Raw genomic sequence first — 13611 nt, forward strand, 5'->3', positions numbered from 1 at the left:
TTTAATGACAACTTATAGTCTATAAGATGAACATATCATAACTTATCTAATGTTTCTTGTTGTGGATAAAGTTGTTTTCATTTTTTTCTTTTACAAATAATAATGTGATGAAGATCTTTGTAGGTTATCAAGACTTCATATAATTTTTTGAAAGATCCTAGAAAAAGATGGATCAAGTTCAAAAGTATTTTTAAAGTTATTTACATATTTTGTCAAATTATTCTCCAGAGAAGTTGTACTACTTTTCCCTCCCTTGTACACAAGACTGTGCAAGAGCCATCAACGCTTCTCGACCTAAATATTAACATTAAAGATATTTTGGACCAATTTAATGGTGAATGTTATCTTATTTTAATAGTACCAAAGGATAAGTACAAGATTCTGCATTGTGGGGAGATTGCGAGACAAATGAACTTTTAAAAGATATTTGGGAACAGACGAAATGGCCTGCTCTGCTGAGAAACTGAAAGGGCTTGAGACCCAGAGTGAAGCGAAAGGAAAATAAAATAGCACTTTGGGATGGAAAGGGGACGCCAGCACACCCCAGGTCTGTACCCCTGGCCTCGCAGTCTTCGGGGTCCCTGACAGGCAGTAGGGCTCAAAAGGAAGCCAAGTGCAGCTGCAGGGGGCTTCTCTCCGAGGGTCGCCCCGCAGTCTCTGGGTTATGATCCCCACGCGAGTACCTGGGAGTTCCCAGCCATTCGGCCCCTACAGAAGGACCAGGCAGAGGAATTTCTGATTCATGTGTTTTTCCGTGGGATGCCAGAAAGGGAGTTTTGAGAGCTCCTACACCAGCTTAGCTTGGGAGCCCCTACGCAACAACCATCCAGGTCCCGGAAGATGCCAGCTCTGCCTGGCGCCCGCAGCCCAGATCTCCTGCCCGGAGTACGGGGGCGCGGGCGCAGCCACCAAAGCTGAAATGTGACCGCGTCCCGGTCCCTTCCTGCTCTGGGGCGCGAAGCTGCCAAGAAACCGGCTGCGGTCTCCAGGAGGGGCCAGGAGGCAAAATGGAAGGAAGCGCTGGATCTCCGCGGCGGAAGTCATTCTTATGCCCTGCCAAAGGGTAGAGGGCAGCAACCGACTTGTGCGAAAGGAGGGAACGTGTGGGTCTGCCAGGGTCCTGCAGGGGGGATGAGACCCTCGCTCCGCTCCGGCGATCCCTTCGCTCTCCACCCTCGGCCAGCCCCTCCTGTCCTCCATCAGGCCTCGCTGAGGATACCTCCTGGGTTCCAAAGCGCGAGTTGAACCTGAGCTTGACATTCATTCCGTCTCGTACAAAAGCCATGCCTGCGGGGAGAGGGAGAAAATTTCCTACAGGAGCCTCAAGACTGCGTTTCAGGAAGCCCTAGGACCCACTGATCCTGCAGCTGCGCCTCTCACTCGCCTCAGGTTTGGATTAATTGTCACTTTCTGTTAAGCTGACATTTATGGAGGGCCTAGTGCGTCCTGGGTGCTGCGCTATTTAGGCTGTTGCACAGAGGAGTGGCCAACTCCAGCAAGGCTCTTGCTTTGCTGCTTCCCCATTCTTCCTCCGCCTGTAATCCAGACAAAAGCCCACATTGTAACCAATCCAGGGGCAGCTTAGCAGTGCCAAGCAGGCAGCTCAGAGGCCACTGGTAGGACAGGGCATGATCAACAGGCCTCCTGATATTTTCTAACATACGTATTAACAAGAAAGAGGAAATTAAAAAACGAAGATGGACAACAGAACTTCACTCTGACTTGAGTGACTTTTATCCTCATTTGGATAATAGTTTTCAAAAATTATTTGTGAGTGTATATGTGCTATTCACAAAGCAATGGCTACTGACCCAACACGTATTTACATCTCTTCTTCATTATTGCATTTCACTCCGTAAATGTCTTAGCCTAGACAATCAACAAAGCCATAAACCAAATCCTGATTTGTAGCATTTGCTGACTTCTGTGTTTAAATTACCCATCATAGGCGATTTTAAGTTACAATATGTAGTCGTTGAATACAGATTTGGAGAGAGTCACAATTGCACACTCTTTTATATTTTTCCACCTAAAAGGTACAATAGACATAAATAACTCTAAGAACACAGATAACAGCAAAATGTAGCAACTAATTAGGAAGAAATGAATTTTGTGTCTCCATTACTTTTCCAGTAAAATTCATCTAACAAGTGTATTACAAACAAGTGTATGCAATTGAATTTTAACTCAAAATTTTAGAATTTGAACAATTGATGCTAGTTAGGGTGTGAGCTAGCTCCAGCACATAATCCTGTCCCGTGAAGAGAAGTTTTATGGCTTACATTTTTAGATATATCTAAGTTTACTGGAACTCAAATACAGAACAAAATCCCACCAAAATTAACATATACTGTCATATATAAATATATACACTTTTATATGTGTACATATATATGTGTATACACACTTTAATATATGTATATATGTATATATACTTTATGTATATGTTTTACATATATTTTTAATATATGCATGTATCTGTATATATACTTTTAATTAACAGTCATGTTACAGAGGGCCTACTCTGACAGAAATGTACATCTCTCAGAATCATTATCATCCAGTGCAAGTGTCAGCTAACTACTGCCAATAGGCTAGATATCTCTAGCTTGCCACCTGGTTTTGTACTGCCAGAGAGCTATGTATGGATTTTACACATTTATACTGTAAAGACCATTATCTTTTCCACATGAACAGTTGCTTGAAGAGTTGAGGGTATTGGCAGTAGCAACAACAGACAACTAAAGAACAAAGCAAATATCCAGTATGTTTAGATGAGTTGGCAGCAATGCTGTTATTTCCTTGAGGAGTTAATGTTGAGTTTGAAGTCACTAAAGAATCATCTCCTATGAATAGTCTGCTGGGAACAACTATACATGAGAATATTTTTAAAGAAGTTGAGAAAATATGAATTCATTACAACCTGAAGTACAATCTGCTAAGATCTCTTTCAATTGAATCTGAGACAGTATGTGGAACAGAAAAAGTCTAATTTGAAAAAATTTACAAAGCTTGTGAAAATATACGTTGTTTATTTATTTATTCATTTTATTATTCATCAGCAGTACTTTGCATAAAACATTTTAATCTATCATTTGTTATTTAAACCAGCATTGTCATTGCTGAACTACATTCACTCTGGTGAACAGTTCAGACAACTAGAAATGAAAGATGAATACCCTGAGCTTGTCCTACTGCATGGCAGTTTGATGGGTTAGGACTCAATTTTTTTGAAATTTTTGAGCTTAAGGAAGAGATCAAAATATTTTTCTGTATGAAAAGAATTTCCCTTGGCCTGTACTAACAACCACTGAATGACTTTGGAAATTAGCTTTTGCTACAGACTTGATAATGCTTCTTATATCTTTCTTTCTTTTTTTTTTTTTTTTTTGAGATGGAATCTCGCTCTGTCACCCAGGCTGGAGTACAGTGACTCGATCTCAGCTCACTGCAACCTCCACCTCCTGGATTCAAGTGATTCTCCTGCCTCAGCCTCCTGAGTAGCTGCGATTACAGGCACGTGCCACCACGCCCAGCTAATTTTTGTATTTTTAGTAGAGATGGTGTTTCACCGTGTTGGTCAGGCTGGTCTCAAACTCCTGACCTCGTGATCCGCCCGCCTCGGCCTCCCAAAGTGCTGGGATTATAGGCATGAGCCACCATGCCCGGCCTTGATAATGTTTCTTAATGAATTCAACCTGTATATATACAAGGCAAGATGGTGCTTATATATGGAAGTTATACTGCAATATATCCTTTAGATAACGAATGTTATATAAATCCCTAGTAATGTTGAGTTGATCTGTAAATTTCTTATGTTGGAAAAAGTGAAAACAAAATGAACTCCATTCCCACACTATTTGAAGCATCTATAATTTCCCAGATCAAGCTACAGCTTCAATTACATTTTTCTCATCTTTAGGAAAGGACAGAGGAAATTCTGATATCTCAGAATCTGTTTAATTTTCCAATTGAGAAGCTGCCACCTAACTTTTCTTTTCTTTTTTTTTATTTTATTTTTCACAGAGTATCTTTTTTTTATTATTATACTTTAAGTTTTAGGGTACATGTGTACAACGTGCAGGTTTGTTACATATGTATACATGTGCCATGTTGGTGTGCTGCACCCATTAACTCGTCATTTAACGTTAGGTATATCTCCTAATGATATCCCTCCCCGCTCCCCCCACCCCACAACAGGCCCTGGTGTGTGATGTTCCCCTTCCTGTGTCCATGTGTTCTCATTGTTCAATTCCCACCTATGAGTGAGAACATGTGGTGTTTGGTTTTTTGTCCTTGCAATAGTTTGTTGAGAATAATGGTTCCCAGCTTCATCCACATCCCTACAAACGACATGATCTCATCATTTTTTATGGCTGCATAGTATTCCATGGTGTATATGTGCCACATTTTCTTAATCCAGTCTATCATTGTTGGACATTTGGGTTGGTTCCAAGTCTTTGCTATTGTGAATAGTGCCACAATAAACATATGTGTGCATGTGTCTTTATAGCAGCATGATTTACAATCCTTTGGGTATATACCCAGTAATGGGATGCCTGGGGCAAATGGTATTTCTAGTTCTGGATCCCTGAGGAATCGCCACACCGACTTCCACAATGGTTGAACTAGTTGACAGTCCCACCAACAGTGTAAAAGTGTTCCTATTTCTCCACATCCTCTCCAGCACCTGTTCTTTCCTGACTTTTAAATGATCACCATTCTAACTGCTGTGAGATGGTATCTCACTGTGGTTTTGATTTGCATTTCTCTGATGGCCAGTGATGATGAGCATTTTTTCATGTGTCTTTTAGCTGCATAAATGTCTTCTCCTGAGAAATGTCTGTTCATATCCTTTGCCCACTTGTTGGTGGGGTTGTTTTTTTCTTGTAAATTTGTTTGAGTTCATTGTAGATTCTGGATATTAGCCCTTTGTCAGATGAGTAGACTGCAAAAATTTTCTCCCATTCTGTAGGTTGCCTGTTCACTCTGATGGTAGTTTCTTTTGCTGTGTAGAAGTCTTTAGTTTAATTAGATCCCATTTGTCAATTTTGGCTTTTGCTGCCATTGCTTTTGGTGTTTTAGACATGAAGTCCTTGCCCATGCCTATGTCCTGAATGGTATTGCCTAGGTTTTCTTCTAGGATTTTTATGGTTTTAGGTCTAACATTTAAGTCTTTAATCCATCTTGAATTCATTTTTGTATAAGGTGTAAGGAAGAGATCCAGTTTCAGCTTTCTACATATGGCTAGCCAGTTTTCCCAGCACCATTTATTAAATAGGGAATCCTTTCCCCATTTCTTGTTTTTGTCAGGTTTGTCAAAGATCAGATAGTTGTAGATATCTGGCATTACTTCTGAGGGCTCTGTTCTGTTCCATTGGTCTATATCTCTGTTTTGGTACCAGTACCATGCTGTTTTGGTTACTCTAGCCTTGTAGTATAGTTTGAAGTCAGGTAGCGTGATACCTCCAGCTTTGTTCTTTTGGCTTAGGATTGACTTGGCAATGTCGGCTCTCTCTTGGTTCCATATAAACTTTAAAGTATTTTTTTTCAATTCTGTGAAGAAAGTCATTGGTAGCTCGATGGGGATGGCATTGAATCTATAAATTATCTTGGGCAGTATGGCCATTTTCATGATATTGATTCTTCTTACCCATGAGCATGGAATGTTCTTCCATTTGTTTGTATCCTCTTTTATTTCATTGAGCAGTGGTTTGTAGTTCTCCTTGAAGAGGTCCTTCACATCCCTTGTAAGTTGGATTCCTAGGTATTTTATTCTCTTTGAAGCAATTGTGAATGGGAGATCACTCATGATTTGGCTCTCTGTTTGTCTGTTATTGGTGTATAAGAATGCTTGTGATTTTTGCACATTGACTTTGTATGCTTAGACTTTGCTGAAGTTGCTTATCAGCTTAAGGAAATTTTGGGCTGAGACGATGGGGTTTTCTAGATATACAATCATGTCATCTGCAAACAGGGACAATTTGACTTCCTCTTTTCCTAATTGAAAACCCTTTATTTCCTTCTCCTGCCTAATTGCCCTGGCCAGAACTTCCAACACTATGTTGAACAGGCGTGGTGAGAGAGGGCATCCCTGTCTTGTGCTAGTTTTCAAAGGGAATGCTTCCAGTTTTTGCCCATTCAGAATGATATTGGCTGTGGGTTTGTCATAGATAGCTCTTATTATTTTGAGATACATCCCATCAATACCTAATTTATTGAGAGTTTTTAGCATGAAGGGCTGTTGAATTTTGTCAAAGGCCTTTTCGGCATCTATTGAGATAATCATTTGGTTTTTATCGTTGGTTCTGTTTATATGCTGGATTACATTTATGATTTGCATATGTTGAACCAGCCTTGCATCCCAGGGATGAAGCCCACTTGATCATGGTGGATAAGCTTTTTGATGGTGCTGCTGCATTCGGTTTGCCAGTATTTTACTGAGATTTTTGCATCGATGTTCATCAGCGATATTGGTCTAAAATTCTCTTTTTTTGTTGTGTCTCTGCCAGGCTTTGGTATCAGGATGATGCTGGCCTCATAAAATGAGATAGAGAGGATTCCCTGTTTTTCTGTTGATTGGAATAGTTTCAGAAGGAAAGGTATCAGCTGTTCCTTGTATCTCTGGTATAATTCGGCTGTGAATCCATCTGGTCCTGGACTCTTTTTGGTTGGTAAGCTATTGATTATTGCCACAATTTCAGCTCCTGTTATTGGTCTATTCAGAGATTCAACTTCTTCCTGGTTTAGTCTTGGGAAGTGTATGTGTCGAGGAATTTATCCATTTCTTCTAGATTTTCTAGTTTATTTGCATAGAGGTGTTTATAGTATTCTCTGATGGTAGTTTGTATTTCTGTGGGATCGGTGGTGATATCCCCTTTATCATTTTTTATTGCATCTATTTGATTCTTCTCTTTTTTCTTCTTTATTAGTCTTGCTAGCAGTCTATCAATTTTGTTGATCTTTTCAAGAAAACCAGCTCTTGGATTCATTGATTTTTTGAAGGTTCTTTGTGTCTCTATCTCCTTCAGTTTTGCTCTGATCTTTGTTATTTCTTGCCTTCTGCTAGCTTTTGAATGTGTTTGCTCTTGCTTGTCTAGTTCTTTTAATTGTGATGTTAGGGTGTCAATTTTAGATCTTTCCCGCTACCTCTTGTGGGCATTTAGTGCTGTAAATTTCCCTCTACACACTGCTTTGAATGTGTCCCAGAGATTCTGGTATGTTGTGTCTTTGCTCTCATTGGTTTCAAAGAACATCTTTATTTCTGCCTTCATTTTGTTATTACCCAGTAGTCATTCAGGAGCAGGTTGTTCAGTTTCCATGTAGTTGAGCGGTTTTGAGTGAGTTTCTTAATCCTGAGTTCTAGTTTGATTGCACTGTGGTCTGAGAGACAGTTTGTTATAATTTCTCTTCTTTTACATTTGCTGAGGAGTGCTTTACTTCCAACTATGTGGTCAATTTTGGAATAGGTGTAGTGTGGTGCTGAAAAGAATGTGTATTCTGCTGATTTCGGGTGGAGAGTTCTGTAGATATCTATTAGGTCTGCTTGGTGCAGAGCTGAGTTCAATTCCTGGATATCCTTGTTAACTTTCTGTCTCATTGATCTGTCTAATGTTGACAGTGGGGTGTTAAAATCTCCCGTTATTATTGTGTGGGAGTCTAAGTCTCTTTGTAGGTCTCTCAGGACTTGCTTTATGAATCTGGGTGCTCCTGTATTGTGTGCATATGTATTTAGGATAGTTAGCTCTTCTTGTTGAATTGATCCCTTTACCATTATGTAATGGCCTTCTTCGTCTCTTTTGATTTTGTTGGTTTAAAGTCTGTTTTATCAGAGACTAAGATTGCAGCCCCTGCCTTTTTTTGTTTTCCATTTGCTTGGTAGATCTTCCTCCATCCCTTTATTTTGAGCCTATGTGTGTCTTTGCACGTGAGATGGGTTTCCTGAATACAGCACACCGATGGGTCTTGACTCTTTATCCAATTTGCCAGTCTGTGTCTTTTAATTGGAGCATTTAGCCCATTTACATTGAAGGTGAATATTGTTATGTGTGAATTTGATCCTGTCATTATGATGTTAGCTGGTTATTTTGCTCATTAGTTGATGCAGTTTCTTCCTAGCCTCGATGGTCTTTACAATTTGGCATGTTTTTGCAGTGGCTGGTACTGGTTGTTCTTTTCCATGTTTAGTGCTTCCTTCAGGAGCTCTTGTAGGGCAGGCCTGGTGGTGACAAAATCTCTCAGCATTTGCTTGTCTGTAAAGGATTTTATTTCTCCTTCACTTATGAAGCTTAGTTTGGCTGGATATGAAATTCTGGGTTAAAAATTCTTTTCTTTACGAATGTTGAATATTGGTCCCCACTCTCTTCTGACTTGTAGAGTTTCTGCCGAGAGATCAGCTGTTAGTCTGATGGGCTTCCCTTTGTGGGTAACCCGACCTTTCTCTCTGGCTGCCCTTAACATTTTTTCCTTCATTTCAACTTTGGTGAATCTGACAATTATGTGTCTTGGAGTTGCTGTTCTCAGGGAGTATCTTTGTGGCGTTCTCTGTATTTCCTGAATTTGAATGTTGGCCTGCCTTGCCAGATTGGGGAAGTTCTCCTGGATAATATCCTTTAGAGTGTTTTCCAACTTGATTCCATTCTCTTCGTCACTTTCAGGTACACCAATTAGATGTAGATTTGGTCTTTTCACGTAGTCCCATATTTCTTGGAGGCTTTGTTCATTTCTTTTTATTCTTTTTTCTTTAAACTTCTCTTCTCACTTCATTTCATTCATTTGATCTTCCATCACTGATACCCTTTCTTCCAGTTGATCGAATCAGCTACTGAGGCTTGTGCATTCGCCACGTAGTTCTCGTGCCTTAGTTTTCAGCTCCATCAGGTCCTTTAAGGACTTCTCCACATTGGTTATTCTAGTTAGCCATTCGTCTACTTTTTTTCAAGGTTTTTAACTTCTTTTCCATGGGTTTGAACTTCCTCCTTTAGCTCAGATTAGTTTGATCATCTGAAGCCTTCTTCTCTCAACTCGTCAAAGTCATTCTCCATCCAGCTTTGTTCCATTGCTGGTGAGGAGCTGTGTTCCTTTGGAGGAGGAGAGGCACTCTGATTTTTAAAGTTTCCAGTTTTTCTGCTCTGTTTTTTCCCCATCTTTGTGGTTTAATCTACCTTTGGTCTTTGATGATGGTGACGTGCAGATGGGGTTTTGGTGTGAATGTCCTTTCTGTTTGTTAGTTTTTCTTCTAACAGTCAGGACCCTCAGCTGCAGGTCTGTTGGAGTTTGCTGGAGGTCCACTCCAGACCCTGTTTGCCTGGGTATCAGCAGCGGAGGCTGCAGAACAGTGGATATTGGTGAACAGCAATTGTTGCTGCCTGATTTTTCCTCTGGAAATTTTGTCTCAGAGGAGTACCCCGCCGTGTGAGGTGTCAGTCTGCCCCTACTGGGGGGTGCCTCCCAGTTAAGCTACTTGGGGGTCAGGGACCCCCTTGAGGAGGCAGTCTGTCTGTTCTCAGATCTCCAGCTGGGTGCTGGGAGAACCACTACTCTCTTCAAAGCTGTCAGACAGGGATATTCAAGTCTTCAGAGGTTTCTGCTGCCTTTTGTTTGCCTATGCCCTGCTCCCAGAGGTGGAGTCTACAGAGGCAGGCAGTCCTCCTTGAGCTGCAGTCAGCTCCACCCAGTTCGAGCTTCTCGGCCGCTTTGTTTACCTACTCAAGCCTCGGCAATAGCGGGCGCCCCTCCCCCAGCCTTGCTGCCACCTTGCAGTTTGATCTCAGTCTGCTGTGCTAGCAATGAGCAAGGCTCCGTGGGCTAGGACCCTCTGAGCCAGGCACCGGATATAATCTCCTGGTGTGCCATTTGCTAAGACCATTGCAAAAGCACAGTATTAGGGTGGGAGTGACCCGATTTTTCAAGTGCCGTCTGTCACCCCTTTCTTTGACTAGGAAAGGGAATTCCCTGACCCCCTGCAATTCCCAGGTGAGGTGATGCCTCACCCTGCTTTGGCTCACACTCGGTGCACTGCACCCACTGTCCTGCACCCACTGTCTGACACTCCCCAGTGAGATGAACCTGGTACCTCAGTCGGAAATGCAGAAATCACCCATCTTCTCCGTCGCTCACGCTGGGAGCTGTAGACTGGAGCTGCTCCTATTCGACCATCTTGGCTCCACCCTCACTGCCACCTAACTTTTCAACTGGAAATGATTACTCTGTAAAGCAATGACATAATAAAATACAAATATTAAGAAAATAGTCTGACAGAATTCTATCTGCCTTTTAAGGGATAAATTTGTACAATTGAAATTATATGCTAATGGATTGATATCAGTATTTGGCAGTTCTCTTAAATGTGAAAAGCTATTTCAAAGACAAAATCTGTAAAATCTCGTTTCAGATCAGCATTAACAGATGAGCAATTATTTATGATGAGCACAACTTTGAACACTGATTACATAAAATGTTAATAAAATAATTATCAAATTGTACTTGATTTCTATTTTGTGTTTCATCTATAATACTAGCAAGAATTTTTCTTGTTATACGAGGATCTGCATTTTATCCTTAATTTTGCCTTCAGCCTGGAAACCTAAAATATGTAGTATCTGGCCCCTTAAAACAATTTTGCTGATTCCTGATCTACTTGAAAATAAAATTAGTAAGTATGAATTGACCCTTTAGAATTCTTTACAAAAACACTCTGCTTACCTGATTGCTGCTGGTAATTATAAATAAAACATTTTGCACCCCCCCCCCAGCACTTTGGGGGGGCCAAGGCGGGCGGATCACGAGGTCAGGAGATCGAGACCATCCTGGCTAACATGGTGAAACCCTGTCTCTACTAAAAATACAAAAAATTAGGTGTGCGTGGTGGCGGGCACCTGTAGTCTCAGCTGCTCGGGAGGCTGAGGCAGGAGAATGGCGTGAACCCAGGAGGCAGAGCTCGCAGTGAGCCGAGATCACACCACTGCACTCCAGACTAGGCGACAGAGTGAGACTCCATCTCAAAAAAAAAAAAAAAAAAAAAAATTTTACAAATTTTATAAAAAGTCTAGTATAGTAATATATGATATAGATTTAGTTTATATTTAAATACTTGATATTAGATATATGGCCACTTAAAATATAATAATAAAAAAGCAATATTGTTTGAAATAAAATATTGATTGATATATCTATTATTATTCTTGACATATATTATGCCTGTATCATGTAGAAGTAATCTGTAAGAGTGATTTCAATCTTTCTAGCCACTTTCATCCAAAGTTTAATATATATTATTACACATCAGTAGGCCGTGTATCAAAATGCAGTATCAGTCTATAAGCAGTCTTTGCATTGTGACAAATTGCTTTCATGTTCCCTGTAAAGTTTTCTTCAAGGTACATTCTTATAACAAAGCTGCTTTGGAAAGGTAACCTCTGACCCAGATGAAATTAGAAATGTTTTCTCATGGCAAAAAATCTCTCACTTTGCATTCAAAAGCTGTGCTAGTTGAGGACTTTATGATTTATATGATTGCTGTTTTTAGCAAACCAATCTATATGTCCTAGGGAATAATATATACATACATCTTATAGTTGATATTTCTGTTGGCAATAAACCACTTCTTACCCTACTCGAGAATGCAGGAATTGCTTTTCTTATTTTGCTTCCTTTGTCTCTTTTTAATGTGGAGTTTACCATGTGATCAACTTTTCTAAACAAATTCTGAATTTTTAATTTTGCAATGTACATACATTTGCTTATGTAGTTTACTGGATATAGACATAAAAACACCTATCACATGATATATATTATGGACTGAAAATTCCCTAAGTTTTTGATAACAGCAATACATTACTTCCCTACTTTGTCAATTCCACTCTTACAAATTGTATAATATTTTCCTTATGAATAGGTGTATCTACATGCTCATCTTAAGTCTTTAAACTTTGAAAATCGGCGGGGCGCGGCGGCTCACGCCTGTAATCCCAGTACTTTGGAAGGCCGAGGCTGGTGGATCACGAGGTCTCAGGAGATCGAGACGATCCTGGCTAACATGGTGAAACCCCGTCTCTACTAAAAAATACAAAAAATTAGCCAGGCCTGGTGGTGGGTGCCTGTAGTCCCAGCTACTTGGGAGGCTGAGGCAGGAGAATGGCGTGAACCCGGGAGGCGGAGCTTGCAGTGAGTTGAGATCACGCCACTGCACTCCAGCCTGGGTGACAGAGCAAGACTCCATCTCAAAAAATAATAATAATAATAAAAGTAAATAAATAAATAAACTTTGAAAATCAACTTTAAATTCCAGATCATTTATATAATGTTATATCCATACACTCAGAACCACTACAGATAAGTCAGAAGCTCAACGACGCTGTTGCCTTTTTAATTCATATGTTCATTCAGCATTTAAAGAATAAGTACCAAATGCCCAGCACTGACCTAGATGCTAAATCCAGCCAAATAATAGTCATTGTACCACCTTATTCTTATTCAAAAATTTACTGATTTTTATAAGTTTCATAATAATGGAACCAAATGGGTTATCATTTTTAAATGTGTGCTTCAAATATCATAATTTATTTAAAACATATAATATTATTTTATTTATTTTCCTCATATCGAAAAACTATTCTGTAAAAGAATGTCAGTGTTTATTCTTCTTCCTCCAGTTTTACTTTTAGTTATCTTTTACATTGAGCATGTAGAGTTGAATTTTATTCTAAAGCCTAATTTCTTTAACAGGCCTTTGCTTTAAGCTTAGGTTTTGTGGTATGTTTTCTTATTCTGGGAAGATAAATATATTTAATATACTTTAAATTGGATCATATTTTATGAGACCTCAAGGGATCTATTCTTATATGAACGAAACATTATTGCATAATTATTACTTCAGATAACTCAAATGATGACTAATTAAATATACATATAATACATTTATCAGTGAAAAAATTGCAATGACATTTTCTTTACCCTTTTGAAAGTGCCTGTATTCTTTGCAGAAGAAGTTTTAAGAAGGAGCCAGTATAACAACAACTGAGAACATGATTTAGCATTAATATTTCATAATGCAGTTGAGGTTCATGGTTAACTTGAGAAATGCCAACATCCTCCAGGTAAGCATGACTCTGGGATTCTCTAACAAGGTGATGCATAAGGCTCCATGGAAGATGTTGGTCTTTGTGCGTACATTTTATTAATGATAAATTTATTTTATTATTGATTTAGAAAAGTGTTCTGAAGAGACCTTCATTATAAAGAAAAAAATATAAAATCCATAACTCTTTCTCCCTGAATTTACGATTTATACCACAAACTATGCTAACTTTTAGTTTTCTAGAATATCCATAGCCTTAATTCTAAAATGAGTAAAGAAAGTTTAGCCATTTGACCACTTTAACAAACAAAAGTTCCTGATGTGTTATTCTGGAACTATGGTCTGTAATTAAGCATTTACCAGGAATATAACCAGTTAGTTATATTCCATTTGGAAAACACAAACAAATGTACAAACAAACCAATAAAAATAGGCAAAGATAAAGCATAAATCTTTTACATGGTTCAAGAAGAACAATTTATGTATAAGTGAAAGATACTAGGCTGGTTGAGTTTTGGTATTATACCATACTA

General features: G+C 39.3%; 1 long non-coding RNA gene across 2 annotated transcripts in view, besides 1 other annotated feature; it reads left to right on the forward strand.

Moving 5' to 3' along the window:
• Positions 1033 to 1082: an enhancer, noted in NCBI's record as "active region_20109". NCBI's record gives its function as "activates an Ori minimal core promoter by ATAC-STARR-seq in GM12878 lymphoblastoid cells {active_cell/tissue: GM12878}" and the evidence as "EXISTENCE:reporter gene assay evidence [ECO:0000049][PMID:35858748]".
• LINC00506 (long intergenic non-protein coding RNA 506) overlaps positions 1062 to 13611 on the forward strand; it is a 67790-nt gene continuing 55240 nt past the window's right edge. Inside the window, exons 1-2 of one of the 2 annotated variants that reach the window (NR_047469.1) lie at positions 1062 to 1389; positions 6513 to 10484. This is a non-coding gene — a long non-coding RNA (long intergenic non-protein coding RNA 506). Of the gene's footprint in view, positions 1390 to 6512; positions 10485 to 13611 lie in introns of those variants that run through there. The other variant, NR_104153.1, reaches the window with a different exon arrangement.

The sequence above is a fragment of the Homo sapiens genome, chromosome 3 (assembly GCF_000001405.40).
Source record: "Homo sapiens chromosome 3, GRCh38.p14 Primary Assembly".
Taxonomy (NCBI): Eukaryota; Metazoa; Chordata; class Mammalia; order Primates; family Hominidae; genus Homo; species Homo sapiens.